General features: G+C 39.7%; 1 protein-coding gene across 49 annotated transcripts in view, besides 1 other annotated feature; it reads left to right on the top strand.

Annotated features, from left to right (window-relative positions):
• SYNE1 (spectrin repeat containing nuclear envelope protein 1) overlaps nucleotides 1-18532 on the top strand; it is a 515676-nt gene that overhangs the window by 310562 nt on the left and 186582 nt on the right. For all 49 annotated transcript variants that reach the window (XM_047418508.1, XM_017010610.2, XM_017010609.2 and 46 more), the window contains 13 exons: nucleotides 168-505; nucleotides 699-843; nucleotides 1499-1717; nucleotides 3064-3323; nucleotides 4915-5080; nucleotides 5411-5563; nucleotides 7786-7938; nucleotides 8538-8720; nucleotides 9815-9952; nucleotides 15928-16113; nucleotides 16283-16405; nucleotides 16784-16966; nucleotides 18169-18312. In XM_047418508.1, coding sequence (XP_047274464.1) covers nucleotides 168-505; nucleotides 699-843; nucleotides 1499-1717; nucleotides 3064-3323; nucleotides 4915-5080; nucleotides 5411-5563; nucleotides 7786-7938; nucleotides 8538-8720; nucleotides 9815-9952; nucleotides 15928-16113; nucleotides 16283-16405; nucleotides 16784-16966; nucleotides 18169-18312 — 2391 coding nt within the window. The remainder of the gene's footprint in view (nucleotides 1-167; nucleotides 506-698; nucleotides 844-1498; nucleotides 1718-3063; nucleotides 3324-4914; nucleotides 5081-5410; nucleotides 5564-7785; nucleotides 7939-8537; nucleotides 8721-9814; nucleotides 9953-15927; nucleotides 16114-16282; nucleotides 16406-16783; nucleotides 16967-18168; nucleotides 18313-18532) is intronic.
• Nucleotides 15962-17161: an enhancer, noted in NCBI's record as "BRD4-independent group 4 enhancer chr6:152630775-152631974 (GRCh37/hg19 assembly coordinates)". NCBI's record gives its function as "activates an origin of replication core promoter dependent on BRD2, P300/CBP, MED14 and CDK7 cofactors, and independent of BRD4, by STARR-seq in HCT116 cells {active_cell/tissue: HCT116}" and the evidence as "EXISTENCE:reporter gene assay evidence [ECO:0000049][PMID:35650434]".

Genomic DNA, 18532 nt, shown 5'->3' with positions numbered 1-18532 from the left:
AAGGATAATGATGATGGCACCACAAAAATATTCCACTAACTTATCAATGCACTTACACACATACGCCCATGAGACTAAGGACTGGAAAACAAATGAGTGAATAAAACTCTTTCCTGCAAACACATTGCAAAGGAGAGTTGATTATGTTTGCAATTGCTGTTTTTCAGGCTACCTTGACTGAAATATATAGCCAGTGTCAAAGGTATTATCAGGTATTTCAAGCAGCCAATGACTGGCTTGAGGATGCCCAAGAATTGTTACAGCTGGCAGGCAATGGCCTAGACGTGGAGAGCGCAGAGGAAAATCTCAAAAGCCACATGGAATTTTTCAGTACAGAGGATCAGTTCCATAGTAACCTGGAGGAGCTCCACAGCCTGGTAGCCACCCTGGACCCACTCATCAAGCCAACCGGCAAAGAAGACCTAGAACAGAAAGTGGCTTCTCTGGAACTCAGGAGCCAGAGGATGAGCCGGGACTCTGGTGCCCAAGTGGATCTCTTGCAGAGGTATTTCAGGATGTTTTGTGTTTTATGTTTTAGTGAAATGAATTTCCACACTGAAAGTAGTAATACACGAATGATATACATTAGCACGTAAATTCATTTTTCCCTGAGTATCATTAGACATACTGACACCAGAGCTTCGTGTAGAAATACGTGATTTCGTGCTACTTATCAGTTTCTGTTGGACTCTTTCAAGATGCACAGCTCAATGGCACGATTACCAGAAAGCAAGGGAAGAGGTTATTGAATTGATGAATGATACAGAAAAGAAATTGTCTGAGTTTTCTTTGTTGAAGACTTCGTCTAGTCATGAAGCGGAAGAAAAATTGTCAGAACACAAGGTCAGAGTTTTGGGCCATTTAAAAAAAATCCTTTTTCTATAATTATAATGAGTCTTTGCAACATGATCAATAAATCTTCATTTCTACCTGGACTTTTTTCAATGTGATAAGGATGCATTTAACAACATTTTATAGAAGTTTTAAGTTTATTAAATGCTATTACCTTTTAGGATTCCCATTGGAAATGCATAGCTAAGATGTTCAGAGCAATTTGCTTCCGATAAGATGTGGCACTTAATAAATGTCAGTGAATACTTTTTGTTGATAACAGATTAAATAAAACTAAAACGTTAATAACTGAGTCTCCCTTTATCAGAGCAATATAAGGAAAAAATGTAACATACTAAAATATTGCATTTGGTTCACTTGCATTTGTGCTGCTTTTTAAAAATGAAAAAAATGTCATCTCAAGTAGCAAAATACACTTTTGTTTTTAATAAATAAATAATATTCACCTTACCTCTTTAAAAAGCTTTAAGACTCACTCTGGTTAAAAAATAAACATAAAAGTAAGAGTACCTAGAGGAGAATAAACGTATGTAGAAACATTTCCTTTTGCAGGAATTTTGGGCTTTACCAAGATCCATAGAACTTTATAAAATTAAATTGATCTCTCCCTTGTCTCCTCTCTTCCGTCCTCCACCCCCAACCCTAGGCTTTAGTGTCAGTGGTTAACTCTTTCCATGAGAAAATTGTGGCCCTTGAGGAAAAAGCTTCACAACTGGAGAAAACCGGAAATGATGCCAGCAAAGCCACCCTGAGCAGGTCAATGACCACCGTCTGGCAGCGCTGGACACGCCTTCGAGCTGTGGCCCAGGACCAGGAGAAGATCCTGGAAGATGCAGTGGATGAGTGGACGGGCTTTAACAACAAGGTAGTTTCCACTGTCCATGGGCTCACCTTTCTTTCCTCACTAATTATAATGTATTTTGAAACACAGTATTTTGCCCCTTTTTGAAGTCAGCCTTATGAAAGTAATAAAGGCTTTTTAAAATCTGTTTCAGTGACATAAAAATTAAGTTATGAAACAAAGTACAAAATGCAATGTGCAGTTTAGTCCCAAGTCACAGTCAAATTATTTCAATGAGAAAAACCAAGCAATTAAATTGTGAAAGGAGAACAAGCCCATTTTGCCCCATTTGCTTTCTTTCTTTTTTTTGACGGAGTCTCCCTCTGTCGCCCAGGCTGGAGTGCAGTGGCGCCATCTCGGCTCACTGCAAGCTCCGCCTCCCGGGTTCACGCCATTCTCCTGCCTCAGCCTCCCGAGTAGCGAGTAGCTGGGACTACAGGCGCCCGCCACCACGCCTGGCCAATTTTTTGTATTTTTATTAGAGACGAGGTTTCACCTCGTTAGCCAGGATGTTCTCAATCTCCTGACCTCGTGATCCGCCCGCCTCAGCCCCCGCCAAGTGCTGGGATTACAGGCGTGAGCCACCGCGCCCGGCCCATTTGCTTTCTTAACGGCCTTGAAAAAGAATGAGATACTTTTTCTTTACCATGAAACCTGAAAATGAGCAGAAATTTGACTCATTACCCAAATTGTATATTCAACTTTTTCCTTTTTGGAGTCTTGCTCTGTCGCCCAGGCTAGAGTGCAGTGGTGTGATCTCAGCTCACTGCAACCTCCACCCCCTGGGTTCAAGCAATTCTCCTGCCTCACCCTCATGAGTAGCTGGGATTACAGGCACCCGCCACCACACCTGGTTAATTTTTGTATTTTTAGTAGAGACGGGGTTTCTCCATGTTTGTCAGGCTTGTCTCAAGCTCCTGACCTCAGGTGATCTGCCTGTCTCGGCCTCCGAAAGTGCTGGGATTACAGGCACGAGCCACCACATGCCTGGCAGCTTTTTCCATCTTTAAAGGTTTAATGTTTTAAGCCATTATTTTCCTTTATGATTTAAAGGCACTCATTTATGTTAACTTAAATATTGGAAAGAGTATTTTGTTTGCTTAGTTTTTTTTTAAAGCTTTTTCTGTATTAAGTATAGTCTCTGATTGTCCTAATATTATTTTGAGATTAAAGCTTTAAACCCAGAGGTATAGAGGTGATATCTCCTTTCATGTTAAGAAGGTTGCTCAGGTTCCAGTTTCCTAACATGTGGAATTTATATCATCATCTTTAATTGGCTTCATACACTAGTGTGTGGCTTTTATGGGAGTTACCCTATTTTTTTCAGTTTATTTATTATTGAACTTCATAGTATGTACATTTGTCATCAGGTTAAAAAGGCCACTGAAATGATTGATCAGCTGCAAGATAAGTTACCTGGAAGTTCAGCAGAGAAAGCATCGAAAGCAGAGCTCTTAACTCTTCTTGAATACCACGACACGTTCGTTCTGGAGCTGGAGCAGCAGCAGTCGGCCTTGGGCATGCTGCGGCAGCAAACCCTGAGCATGCTCCAGGATGGAGCCGCCCCAACCCCTGGGGAAGAGCCTCCGCTCATGCAGGAAATCACCGCCATGCAAGATCGGTGCCTGAAGTAATTAAGCACCTACTTTCATTCTTTTGTTTGTTTGTTTGTTTGGAGTCTCGCTCTGTCGCCCAGGCTGGAGTGCAAATGTGTGATCTCGGCTCACTGCAAGCTCCGCCTCCCGGGTTCACGCCATTCTCCTGCCTCAGCCTCTCTGAGTAGCTGGGACTACAGGCGCCCGCCACCACGCCCGGCTAATTTTTTGTATTTTTAGTAGAGACGGGGTTTCACCGTGGTCTTGATCTCCTGACCTCGTGATCCGCCCGCCTCGGCCTCCCAGAGTGCTGGGATTACAAGCGTGAGCCACCGCGCCCGGCCCCTACTTTCATTCTGTTACTGAACTTGGCCTTGGGATAAGTAGGTTATGAAGTATGAAGGTGCTCCTTCACACCACCTTGAAAATGTGGGGATCCGTTCCCATCACTCTTGCTTTTCCGTTTCCTTAACTCTTCAATCGTTTGTCTGACAAATACATATCTGATAGTACTTAGAGATACGATGGTGAACCATACAGACTCAGTGTCTACCTTCATGCCGTTTACAGTCAAGCCGCAGAGAGCTAGGCAACTAAGGCAGCCTTTGTAGTCAAGTGTGAAAAGGGAGCTGAGGGAATCCGAAGCAGAGACAAGCAGCCGAGGAGAGGGGTCAAAGAAGGCATCCCTTCAGAAGGGGAATTGAAGCAGAAGCCTGAGCGGGCTGGAGCTAGGCATTGAGTTTTGCAAACAGGGAAATGACATGTAAGAAAGGAATAAACGTGTCACTTTCAAGGAGCTCCTTGGGTGATGCGGGGAGGGGAAGGGTGATTCAAGAGAAATGAAGCATGAGATGGAAACCATTGAGAGCTATTAAGAACTTAGATTTGATGAAGCTTGAGAACTCATTGGCCATCTGGGGTGACAGGGATATAGGAGCGCAGTCCAGGTAAATAATAGCCATCGACTAGCAGTGAATTTAGTAGAAAGAGCAAGTTAATCCTGATGTATAACCAGCCCTGACTCACTTCTTGGGCCAGAGAAAAAAATATTCATTGATAATTTAATTTCTACATTTACAAATATTACCTCATTCATGTCCTTGCATTTCACCTCTTTCCCTTATAGGTGATGTCAAGGTAACCTAACACTTTTTAAAATCTTCTTACCAAATTTACATTAATTCAAATAAAGACTTGAAATTTGTACATTATTAACGTGATTAATTATGACATTTCCAAAGCTTGATTTTTTTCTTTAAAGACTACTTTCTATTAGATAGCTATATATATTCCAATTACACATTACTTTTAAATGTACCATTTTAGGAGATTTCCAAAGAGGAAGTAAATAATGAAATAATCTCCAGGCTACTTTAAATAGGAAATTGATTGCAATTTAGTGGCATGTGAGACAGTCAACTCTCAGTTTTTCAAGGATAAATTATTTACTTTATATGACATTTATACATGAACTGCAGTGTTATTTAACAGTGTTGAGGAAGTGTCTTTTCTTTCAAAAAAGATACTAGGTTTCCCATTTCTATATATGTATTGGATAAAATGTTGCCAAGTATTAGGGGGTTCCTTTCACTTCACTTCTGTTTTATCCCTGTAATGTTTCTGAAGCATGCAGGAGAAAGTGAAGACTAATGGAAAGTTGGTGAAGCAAGAGCTGAAGGACCGAGAAATGGTGGAGACTCAGATCAATTCTGTGAAATGTTGGGTTCAGGAAACGAAAGAATATTTAGGGAATCCAACAATAGAAATAGATGCTCAACTTGAAGAACTTCAGGTACAAAAAAGTCTCCTCATTCTCTTTACCCATCATTTCAAAAACAATTGCCCTGATTTTAGTTGAACATACTTGTTTGTATTTATTGAATATTGAATTAAAAAATTTCAGAAGTGTGTTATATAAAAGATATTTAGTATTACTTCATGGGATTTTCCTTTGTTTTTTAAAGTGAACATACTTTATATTCAGAGACAAAAGAACAATGTTGTATTAAGATATTTTTCTAATTCCACACTTAATTATATGTTGATGAAAAATATACAGCCTTGTCTATAACAGTCCCCTTAGAAGGTTCCCAGAAATTTCTTATTTTGATCTTTTCTTCAGATTCTCCTAACAGAAGCCACAAATCACCGACAGAACATTGAAAAAATGGCAGAAGAACAGAAGGAGAAGTACTTAGGTCTTTATACCATATTACCTTCTGAACTCTCCCTTCAGTTGGCTGAAGTGGCGTTAGATCTAAAGATCCGAGATCAGGTAAACCTATGATCAAGAAAGAGTGTCTTTCCATTTTGTTTATAGGGTCAGTCCTCTTGTGTGAGAGTTCTTGATTTTCACAATAATGTCTTCTTGGAGACAGAGTTAAAAAAAATAGATGGCTATAAAACAATAATATTAAATTAGAAGTCTTTTTCATAGGCAAGATGATCATAGATATGACCAATAATGCCATACAATTAAAGATAATTTTTGTGCTTCCCCTCACCTTTAAAAAAAGACTTAAAGAAACAAAAAGTAAGATATGTTTCATGTGTTCAACAAATATTTAGTGAATGCCCAGAGTGTGCCAGGGACTCTTCCAGCTGTTATTTTATTTCAGCAGTGCAACAAAATGTCAGTTAAGTAGGTGAAGATGTTGGAGGAAAGGGAAAAATCAAAGAAATAAAAATAAGATCAAGGCAGGGATGAAGTTATTTCCTAAAATGCATGCGGGTGGGTCCCCTAATGTTGCTAGAGAAGAGCCATCATTTTAACCCTAGCTTCTAAACACCCAAGGAAAAGAGTAAATAGAAACATAATCCTGTCTATAACTCTAAAAAACAAATATTTTTGTTTCTTTGAGAAGAAATGCATAGTCCTTTTTGGTGTTGAGACCAGAGTGAGATTTCTGTCTCTGGTCTCATGAAGAGCACAATTTCATGTAGTGAAAATAGGCTCAAATATCATCTGTATGGAAATATAATAGATTTTTCGGACTCTCTTGGTGGCTTAATGCTAAAGCTATTAAAGTTTAATGAAAACCCTTCTATATGAGACAAAGAGAAGACATACTACAATTCTAAATTGCTACATGAAATAGAAAGTAATATCCCATTGTACAAACTGTAAAACTCATACAGTTGTGCTCTACTTTTGGAATCTTCAATGTATGATGCAAAGTGTTTTAAAAATCTCATCAAAATCTGATCCTACTGCATCATGACTTTGACCTAAACTACTGATAAATGCTCTTTACTATTTTAAGTATTTAATTGATATATTTGGCTTTTCTTCTTAGACATTGGAAGATCTACTGGGAAGGATGACTTGGCAAGTTCATGGTCTTTTTATATTTTTGAGACAGAGTCTCGCTCTGTCCCCCAGGCTGGAGTGCAGTGAAACAATCTCAGCTTACTGCAACCTCCTGGGTTTAAGCAGTTCTCGTGCCTCAGCCTCCCAAGTAGCTGGGATTCCAGGCATGCACCACCATACCCGGCTAATTTTTTGTATTTTTAGTAAAAAGAGACAAGGTTTTGCCATGTTGGCCAGCCTGGTCTCAAACTCCTGGCCTCAAGTGAGCTGCCTGCCTCAGCCTCCCAAAGTGCTGGGATTACAGGTGTGCACCTCTGTGCACAGCCATGGTTTTTCTTTGTTTGTTTGTTTGTTTTTTTAGTTAAAATTTAAGCTTTTCTCTGGATTAATTTTCCTATCATAGCCTTATTCATATGTATTTCATTTACTTTGACACTCAAAATAATGAAGGCCAAAACACACCATTAACTCTCTTTTAATGGTGTGTTTTCTCCCTACTAAAGAGGTTTTTTTAAAGACCTTTAACTACATAAAGAAATGTTTCTTCTCTTTAATGTCTTTTCTTCGGCATTTTATTCTAAGCAACAGTGTGAATGTTTGTTATCAAATCAAACCAAAGTCACTGGAAATTTGTAAATGCGAACTGTCTTTTTTCACCTTCCTTTCCATTGGATGTACTTAATGCTTGGTTGGCATACTATAGAGCTGTAGTCGGAAAGTTACAAAAAGAGTTAACAGATCATTAAGAGTCATTTATTAAAAGGTGCTTGGAAACAAATCAGTGTGCTTCCAACTGTTTGGGAGGATTTTCCATCTTATGAAGAAAAAGGCTTAGAGGAGTTTGTGTGCTCAAGGTCATTACGTTAGTTAATGGAGAAGATAGGATTCAAACTCAGCTGTCTACACAACCATCTATAATGAGTATTCTGTAAATATTTAATAAGTGAATTTCTCTACACACATTGCTTGTATCTTTGCTGGAACACAAGGAGTGCAGTAAATACTTAAAGATAGTGAAGTCAGGGAAAGCCAGGAGGGCTTGTAACTAATCGCACATCGCTGGTGTGACCAGGTGTTTCAATGCCAAAGCAGTTAAAATGTGTCTTGTCAACATCATTTGAGATTTTTAGTATCTATTATTCACTTTTAACCATGGCTTGTTTTGCTGTTCTTACTGATTTTTTTAGATCCAAGACAAAATAAAAGAAGTTGAGCAGAGCAAGGCCACGAGCCAGGAACTCAGCCGGCAAATTCAGAAGTTAGCTAAAGACCTCACAACTATTCTAACTAAGCTGAAAGCGAAGACAGATAATGTAGTTCAAGCTAAAACTGACCAAAAGGTAAGAAGTAGAATTTTAAAGGGTACTACTGAATGAATTAAATAGTTTTTGGAGTCAGTTTTACTTGGGGATATAGGATAAAAACCTTTTAGGAACCTTTTTTAAAACCAAATAGTAACAGCAGGTGGTAAAGAAATTTTGTAACTGAAGCAACACAGATCCTCTTACATAATTGATCATTATAATTGAACAGTATTAATAAATATACATGCATGAGTGTGTACGAAAGAAGAGCGTCAAAGGACTAAGTGATGATTTAGGAATACAAGTATATAAATTCCAAACTGAATTGTGTCCTTGGTAGCTAAATCTGTGTTCTTCCTCTGTTGATGAGTTCAGGGACTCTAATCCTTTTTGGGTGGGGCAGAAGGAAAATGTTAGCCTTCTCACTCAGCCTCATAGGAAATAAACACCAGCATTACAACATATCCTGCCCTGCCTTTCCAACCGAAGAAACAAAAATGACCTGATCATAGTAGAATTATAGTAGAATTATTCATTATAATATTTGGCTTTGACAAAAATCAGTCTGATCTCGGGAAACCTGGAGAAATTTATTTTCTGTACTCTAATGTTCTTTCATTTTGGTGACCATCAAGGTGCTGGGAGAGGAATTAGATGGCTGTAATTCAAAGTTAATGGAATTAGATGCAGCAGTACAGAAATTCTTGGAACAGAATGGCCAACTGGGTAAGCCACTGGCCAAGAAGATAGGAAAACTGACTGAACTTCACCAGCAGACCATTAGACAAGCTGAGAATCGGCTCTCCAAGCTCAATCAGGTATGTGTTCCGGGCCAGAAATCCAAATCGTGTAAGGCAGAAACTTCCATGTTCTGCTTTTCTCTTTTGAAAATAAATTAACATAAATAAAAAGATAAAATGGACAATGAGAGAGTAGTTTAGGTGTAGCTTATTTCATGCTACACTTGTGATCCTAAGACTTAGGTATAAACCAGCACTTACTTTATATCCAGCCATATGATAAAGTCACTGACAAAGGTGGTCCTACAAATGGACTTTGGAGTGAATATTTTGTAAAATGGAGAAGTATTTTGTAGAATGAATATTCACCCATTAACGTGTTTTATGAAATCAGTTTGGGGTGAATTCAAGTACCTTTAAGTAAGCTACATATATATCAGCTTACGTTGACTTAATAGATTCAGATTGCACGTCTGTAATAATTGTTGCATATAGACTAGACTTTTGAAATCGATTAATATAATCAGGGACAAGTTAAAACCAGGAGTTGGTAACCCATTAATTATAGTTTGAAACTTTGCCTGCTAGAATCCCCACTTGCCACCTCCTTACCCAGGGGAGGGTGAAGGAAGGGATAGAGGAAGGCCTGGCATGGTGGCTCATACCTATAATCCTAGTACTTTGGGAGGCTGAGGCAGAAGGATCACTTGAGCCTAGGAGTTTGAGACCAGCCTGGGCAACATGGTGAAACCTACAAAAGATTCAAAAATTTAACAGGGCATGGTTGGCACGTGCCTGTGGTCCCAGCTACGTGGGAGGCTGAGGTGGGAGGCTGAGCCCGTAAGATTGAGGCTGTAATTAACCATGATCCAGCTGCTGCATTCCAGCCGGGGTGACAGTAAGACCTTGGAAAAAAAAAAAAAAGAAAAAAGAAAAAAGAAAGAAAAAGAGGAATAATTCAATCATATTAAGAACTTGAGCTTTATCCTAAGGTCACTGAGAAAGCTTTGACAGATTTTAACAGGGAAACGATCTTTTGATACCATTGAATATCATAGGTATTATAATGATCAACCCCTAAGACTGTTGTGTCCAAAGAGAGAGAAGACTGATTTATAGCTCAAGAAACTGAGGAGTTTACATTTGTTACATTAATGTTACTGGTTTTTCAGGCAGCATCACATTTAGAAGAATACAATGAAATGCTTGAATTAATTTTGAAGTGGATTGAAAAAGCTAAAGTCTTGGCTCATGGAACTATTGCATGGAATTCTGCAAGCCAGCTTCGGGAACAATATATTTTGCATCAGGTAACCTTAGGAAAAATAATCTTTAAAAAGTAACCAAGGGCAATTTGATTTAACTGGGTAGACTGACACAACACTTAGAGGGCTGTGATGTAAAATTTTTGGAGCTACCAGATAAAAAGAATGCTAAGGTACCCCTAAGTTGTTCAGTAGTTGGACAGAAAGGAGCTTCTCATGAAATTTCATGAAATTGAATAAATAAATATCCTTGATCTTCCCTAAACCTACCTTACACCAAGACCCAAACCAATCAGCCTTGTAGAACTCATTTTCTGTAGCTTCTTTGAAATAATTATCTGCAGGGATCTGGTGGGAAATTCTTTCCTGTGAAGAGATGCAATGAAGTGTGGAAAGATTCTAGACTCCACACTCAGACTGGTGGGAAAACCAAGCTCCGCCATGCAGGGCTGTGTGATTTGGAGCAGAATGCTTTGCCTCTCTGAATTCTGTCTTCTCATCATTTGTATGAAGACGTAAATAATATTCGTATTTCAGACTTATGAGATCAAGTGGTTTAAGGTACACACGTGCAAACGTCTGCCTGGCACATGCAGGTGCTCAGTGGGAGATCTCCCGCCTCCTCCCTCAGCCCTCACCCAGGCCTGTCATCTGGCCTTCCACAGGAGGTCGGGCAGCCCAGAGCAAGCCATGAGTCCACATCACATGCTGGCTATGTTAGTTCATTTCCTCTGAAGTTACATGAGAAAAATGTTCCTTTTCTGTCAGTCACGTCATCCAGGAAATTATTTCATCCTTTTGTAACTTAAGCTTAAATTAGACACAGATAGTTAATAGGCTAGTTATCATATAATAAAATATAGGGTGACTTTTATAGGAGTTACATGGGTATCGAGTATTCTAGATTTTTGTCTCTTATATTATTTATGTATCCTTGTGGCCTTTAAATGAATCCCTGTTTCCATTCTTGTTTACAGGGTTCTAGATCAAAGCCTCATTTTTCCATTTTTGGAATGCTTTAACAGCTTCTAATTTTTCCCTATATTCACAGTCTTTCTTCTCTGATCAATCTTGCGTATTCTTCCCACAATGTCTTTCTTAAGCAACTCCAATCTTTTGCTTTAAGATATGCTTAGATATGAACAGACAGGACTTAAGTTACCACTGATTTGAAAACAATGAAAAAAAGCCAACATCCTTAGAAGTCTAGAAATGCAAATTTCAGCAAAAAAAGAGAGGAAGAAAGACAAACTTAACTGTCACATTCATACTGTTTCTTTCAAGTTCATATTTAAGGAAGTGAGAGCTCTCAAACATTGCTGGTATCCTGGTAAAATCTCTTTGAAAAATAATTGGCAAAATGTATGGTGATTGTCAAAAATGTTGCTACTCTGGGCCACGTGCGGTGGCTCACACCTGTAATCCCAGCACTTTGGGAGGCCGAGGTGGGTGGATCACAAGGTCAGGAGTTCAAGACCAGCTTGGCCAATATGGTGAAACCCCATCTCTACTAAAAATACAAAAGTTAGCTGGGCATGGTGGTGGGCACCTGTAGTCCCAGCTACTCAGGAATCTGAGGCAGGAGAATCGCTTGAACTCGGGAGGTGGAGGTTGCAGTGAGCCAAGATCATGCCACTGCACTCCAGCCTGGGTGACAGTGAGACTCCATCTCAAAAAAAAAAAAAAAAAAAAAAAAGTTACTACTCTGGCCTGTTGGCTCCTTTTGGACTCCTTTTTATGGCTACAATCCAAAATATAGAAAATATTTTCCACAGTATTAATAACTGTAGTGAAAGTTTAAAGAAAACTTAAATGTGAAATAATTTTTTTCCAAGTAAATATTTGCATATAATAAAATATAATGAAGTCCTTAAGGTTATCATGACTTTTTTTTTCTTTTTTGAGACAGCATTTCGCTCTATCGCCCAGGCTGTAGCTCAGTGGCGTGATCTCAGCTCACTGCAACCTCGTCATCATTGCAGTGAGCCGAGATCACGCCACTGAGCTACAGCCTGGGCAGGTTCAAGTGAATCTTGTCCCTCAGCCTCCTGAATAGCTGGAACTACAGGCACGTGCCATCACACCTGGCTAATTGTTGCATTTTTAGTAGAGATGGGGTTTCGCCATGCTGGCCAGACTGGTCTCAAACTCCTGGCCTCAAGCGATCTACTCGCCTTGGCATCCCCAAATTCTGGGAATACAAGCGTTTGTTTATTTATTCAACAAACATACAGTCCTTTCCCAAACTAGGACTTTGGTTAGGCATTTAGGGTACAAAGGATATTCCCTGTCCCCACCCCAGGGAGTTGATTATTTAGGGGAGGGGACAGATAGAAGGAAACAGTACAATATAGTGTGATTTGTGCAAAGACAGAGGGCCCAGGTGCTGAAGGAGCCCACAGGAGTGTGCTCAACCCAACCGCCCACCAGGGGTTTAAGAGGAAAGTGCAGAAAGGCTTCTCAGGAAAAGGTGATGATGGGCTGAGTCCTGAAAAACATGACAGCCTACTTGTGGAATGTGTTTAGATAAAAATGTATGCTGAAATCCTAGCAGTAAATGTGAGGAGTGTTTTCTGGTGCTGGTACAAGGGATAAGAGATAAGAATAGAGAGATAAGAAAAAGATCCTAAAAGTCTGTTGGGAATTTGGACTTTATCCTGAAGTCACTCTGAAGCCTCTGAAACTGATATTCTGCCTGCAAAGGACAAGTTCAGACTTGTATTTTCAGAAAGCAAATTTAGCAGCCTTTGGAAAACACATTGAGGACAGTAAGACAATATAAAAGATGGTTTCAGTATTTCAGTAGAAGATGACAAGGCCTCTCTTTGGAGATTAGGAGGAGAAGACAAAGTCAAGAGATACTAAGCAGCTGGAATTCTCCAATTTGGAGACTGAATTGGGTGAAAGAGAGGGAGGAGTCAACGATGAAAGACAGGGAGGAGTCAAGGATGATTCCCAGGTTTCTATGACTCGAGCAGTAGGGTGGGTTGACTGCATCATGGGGCACAGTGAAAAAGACACCAGGTCCTGAGATGATCTGGCTCAGAAGCTGAAGAGAGAACGCAGACTGTAGACTCTTTTGGTGAGTTCTCACGTGCCCCCTTTAGGAAGTAAAGCAGCCTGTGTTTATTTAAAAAGAGTGCACTGTGAGAAAAGCCATTGTGTTCTTTGAGAGGCCAAGAGGGGTGGATCACTTGAGGTCAAGAGTTCGAGACCAGCCTGGCCAACATAGTGAAACCCCATTCTCTACTAAAAATACAAAAGTTAGCTGGACGTGGTTGGGAGTGCCTGTAATTCCAGCTGCTCGGATGGCTGAGGCAGGAGAATCGCTTGAACCTGGGAGGCAGCCGTTGCAGTGAGCTTAGATCGCGCCATTGCACTCCAGCCTGGCCACAGAGCAAGACTCCATTTCAAAAAAAAAAAAAAAAAGAAAAGAAAATCCATTGTGTTTTTTCTAATGTCAGAGATGTGAGAACCAGAGTGACTTCGTAGGGGCCTGAATAGGGGCTGGGTAAATGAGGATGACACCTATTGGGTAGCATTCCCACGTCAGGCATTCTTAGTCACAGAATAATTATGGTTAGACAGGTTGATAATGCTAACTGAAGATACCCAGGCCTTAATAGATCTGGGAAATAACAGACTCAGGCAATGTCCTGATATCCTGGTATCTTAAGAACAAAAGCATTCTTGGATCTATATTTAAAAAATAATTTTAACATAGATTCTTATAGAAGACAGCAGTTACACAAAGATCAACAATCTTTTGTCACAGGCCCTTGCAGAGCATATCTCCGCCGTGATTTTTTGCTTTGTTGTCTTATATATAAGCAGACATTGTACCTAAGGTGGATGCATTTCTTTTCCTGCTTTTGGGGACACCCTGCTTTGTCAATGGAGTAGCCGTTCTTTCATCCCTTTACTTTCTTAATAAACTTGCTTTCATTTTACTCTGGATTTGCCCCACATTATTTCTTGCACAAGATTCAAGAACCCGCTTTTGAGGTCTGGATTGGGACCTTTTTCCGGTAACGCTAAGGTCGGGTGAAAAAGAAAGATGGAAAACTATAGTCATGTTATGACCTCAATTATTAATACCTAAAAATGTGCCCAAATGTATCAGCAGTTAACTCTTAAAGTTATTTCTGGGTTATAAAGTGATGAGATATTTTGTTTTCTTCTTTATATTTTCAATATTTTCCAAGTCATATATTTTCTATTTGATATATTTATATAGTAAATATATATTTAAATCATTTAAAATAATTAAATTATTAATAAATATACTTAAATTATACATTTACATTAAATATATATTTAACAGATTATATATATATATCCTTACTATATATATTTATGTGTTAAAAATAAATATATCTTGTATAGGGGCTGGGTGCAGTGAGTCACATCTGTAATCCCAGCACTTTGGGGGACCGAGGCTGGCGGATCACAAGGTCAGGAGTTTGAGACCAGCCTGACCAACATGGAGAAACCCCGTCTCTACTAAAAATACAAAATTAGCTGGGCGTGGCGGCTCATGCCTGTAATCCCAGCTACTCGGGAAGCTGAGGCAGGAGAATCGCTTGAACCCAGGAGATGCAGGTTGCAGTGAGCCGAGATCACGCCATTGCACTCCAGCCTGGGCAACAGGAGCAAAACTCCGTCTCAGAAAAAAAAAAAAAAAGATAAATATATCTTGTATAAATACATATCATATATCATATACAGATAAATATTTATCTGTTAAATATATATTTATAAACATTTATTGTGAGAAAAGAAAGTACTTCATTAAAAAAAGTCTATCGCCGGCTGTGCGCAGTGGCTCACGCCTGTAATCCCAGCATTTTGGGAGGCCAAGGCCTGCGGATCACGAGGTCAGGAGATCGAGACCATCCTGGCTAACACGATGAAACCCCGTCTCTGCTAAAAAATACAAAAAATTAGCCAGGCGTGGTGGCGGGCACCTGGGTGCGTGTAGTCCCAGCTGCTCGGGGGGCTGAGGCAGGAGAATGGTGTGAACCCGGGAGGCGGAGCTTGCAGAGAGCTGAGATTGCGCCACTGCACTCCAGCCTGGGCGAAAGAGCGAGACTCCGTCTCAAAAAAGAAATAAATAAATAGTCTATTGCCTAAGAATAATATCCTATTCCTCATTTCTCCTCTTTACACATTACACACCCCACTAACTGTGTGTTCTAGATTCACGCATCTTTGTACCTATGCATATGCTGTTCTCTCTGTCTGAAATGTCTTTCCTCTTCCCCCTCATCTGTCAGATCCCAAAAGTCCTTCTGACTGGGCTCAGATGTGATTCTTCCCGGAGACCTTCTCCCAATCTTCCCCAAGTTGCAGTCATCTCTTCACACTGGCTTCTCTTTCGTTCTACTTTTCATAGACTGTACATTGAATGGTTACTTATCCATTGTATTTCTGATAGACCCAGTAGATGATACCACTCTGAATGATCAGGGATGTTTTTGCTTCTCTTGATAGTTATTGCACGTATCTTCTACCCCTTTGTCTCACTTAAAGCAAGTGAGCCAAGGTTTTTGCTTGTAATGCTCTTGTTCTTATTTTCATTTCTTAGACAAATATGAACTTCAGTCGTATAGAATATGAGAGCTGAAAAGTGATTCTTTAGTTTAAATATGAGAAAATGGAGACCCAGAGATACAAATAAGACACCTAGTATGTTTGGGTTTTTCACTGCTAGAATTCCTATGTCCTGTTCTCACGAGGGGGCAGCTTGGGCTTGACCGAGCAGGAGCTTCATGGTCCCACACGTAGTATGACATGTGACCTCTGCACATTGTTTACAGTTCCTAAACTGTGATTTCTTTTTCTGTGAAATAGTTATAATAGTAAGTGGCTACCAAGTAGAAAGTGGTCATGGGGGGTGAAGGTTAAACACAATAACGGACACACAGAACTTACACAGGGCATTTTATGCCAAGCTATATTGAATATCTATATCCCTCTACCTGCCCGTCAATGTCATGAATATTGACAATTCACTCTAGACCCTGCTAGAAGAATCCAAAGAAATTGACAGTGAGCTGGAAGCAATGACTGAGAAATTACAGTACCTCACTAGCGTGTACTGTACAGAAAAAATGTCTCAGCAAGTGGCAGAACTGGGACGGGAGACTGAGGAGTTGCGACAGATGATCAAAATTCGTTTGCAGAACCTCCAAGATGCAGCTAAGGTAAAAAAAGAAAAAAAAAAGAAACAGAAAAAAATGTCTATCATTGAAAGAAAATGGCAATGCCACTATGGAAATAGTGCTCACCTGTGATGTGGTTTCTTGACTGTGATGTTATTCTTCCCCTATGGCTTTGAACTTCAAGTACAATACATTGATATTGACTCTCTAGGATATGAAAAAATTTGAAGCAGAGTTGAAAAAGTTACAAGCTGCCTTGGAGCAAGCCCAGGCAACACTGACTTCTCCAGAAGTTGGACGTCTCAGTCTCAAGGAGCAGCTCTCTCATCGGCAGGTAAGCCAAACTAACTTGGAGTAAATAGGGACAGGGACCTATATTTTTAAAAGAGGATAGTAAGGAAAAATGCCTCCTAAACTCAACACTGTTTTATTTTTTTTAATTTATTTTTAAATAGAGACAGGGTATCCCTATGTTGGCCAGGCTGGTCTCGAACTCCTGAACTCATGTGGTCCACCCACCTCAGCCTCTCAAAGTGCTGGGGTTACAGACGTGAACCACTGTGTCCAGCCCCTAAACTCAACACTGTTTTAAACATTTTTTTTTTTTTGCAAAATGTTTATAACTTGCAACGTAACTATAATTTAGTGCCTTTTGCTTATGAAATAAATGATTTAAATATTAAATTTTTGAACTATGAAATTGCATTTTCAGCATTTGTTGTCTGAGATGGAGTCACTGAAGCCGAAGGTGCAAGCAGTGCAGCTCTGCCAGAGTGCCCTCCGGATCCCCGAGGATGTGGTTGCCAGCTTACCTCTCTGTCATGCTGCTCTGCGGCTGCAGGAAGAGGCCAGCCGGCTGCAGCACACCGCCATCCAGCAGTGTAACATCATGCAGGCAGGTGCAGGGTACCCACACCAGTAGAGCAATTGCTGATGAATCATGGGCTTCTTTTCTTAGCATTGTGTGGGCTCAGCCATCAAAACACATCCAGGGTGTTGAATCTGACAGGCTGTTGTGGTTTTATAAAATAAGGAGATTAAAATGCTGTCATTTGGATCACCCACAAAAGCCTGGGGAATGCTATATAAAAAATATCCTTGGTGAAAATTATCTTTTAGTGATATTTTTAAATAAATAACTTGTAAAGATTAATTTTCTATGCAATTACATGTTTTTATCTCTTATTATTCACCTGAGAATCATCTACAAACTGATAATACAGGTTTACTGTTATCTTGTGTTACAGAGTTTTTTTCATATTTCAGCTTATTAAAGCATTAAATCCATTTTCTTTTGAGTGCCTAAAAAAATGCACTCAAGTATAATTCTTAGTCTCTTTGCCTAGTAAGAGAAAATCATTTACCAGGAAGAAATGACAGTGTTTACCTTATGTCTCCCTTCAACTAATAATTCTTGCTTTATCCAAAAATTGTATCAATAGCATCTCACTAAAATCACTAGTGGCTCATTTGGTCAACTACCCTTTCCTCCCTGTTATCTTGTAATTTGTTGGACAGAAAATTCCTGAGGCTAAAAGTCATTCATACTTCATATGTGTATATACTTTTGTTTGGTAGAGATGGGGGTGTCACCATGTTGCCCAGGCTGTATTGAACTCCTGGGCTCACATGATCCAGCCACCTTGGCCTCCAAAAGTGCTGAGATTACAGGCTTGAGCCACTGCGCCCAGCCCATAATTCGTATTTTTATTCCCTACCGTAGCACTTAGATAAGTGTCTTACCTATATATTCAGTATTTGTTAGATGGAAAAATGAAATAATGTTTCCCACACTGCTTCACCCTTTCTGACCGTCATGTTCCATCTTCAGGACGATATCAGTAGGGAAAAGAGAGAGAAAGAATCCTAACCACTTAACTATTTTGATTCCATCAATAATTTTGCTACAACATTTTAGAGAGAAAGTTCTGAAATATCTACATAAAGTGAGGAATTCAAACCATCTAGGAATTTTACCCATCATTTCTTTATTCCCTACCTGTACAGGTAAATAGGAGTTAAACTACAGAATCACTTACCTAGTTATTGGTAGAGAAAAAAAACTGTCTATCTTTCTGTTTTTTTTTTTTTTCAAAGGAAGCTGTGGTACAATATGAACAATATGAGCAAGAAATGAAACATCTCCAGCAACTGATAGAAGGAGCTCACAGAGAGATTGAGGATAAACCTGTTGCCACCAGTAACATACAGGAGCTGCAGGCTCAGATTTCTCGGCATGAGGTGAGAGGAATGTAGGCGAAATACCGAGGGCAGGAAACTGGCTTGATTAGAGTATATGTTTGGTTTCTAGAGAATGGAAGAGAACAGTTTCCCCTGTCCTGCACTTAATGTGTTCAACTCTTGAGAGGCCTCTTTGGCTATCTAAGCATTGTGAGTGCCGTTTTTGTTGATTCAGTAACACGTGCGTTCCCCTTGATTCCATAACCTCTCTACACGTTGT

Source organism: Homo sapiens, chromosome 6, assembly GCF_000001405.40.
Source record: "Homo sapiens chromosome 6, GRCh38.p14 Primary Assembly".
NCBI lineage: Eukaryota > Metazoa > Chordata > Mammalia > Primates > Hominidae > Homo > Homo sapiens.
Note: the sequence above shows the minus strand (reverse complement) of the source record. Positions and strands in the feature narration are given on the sequence as shown.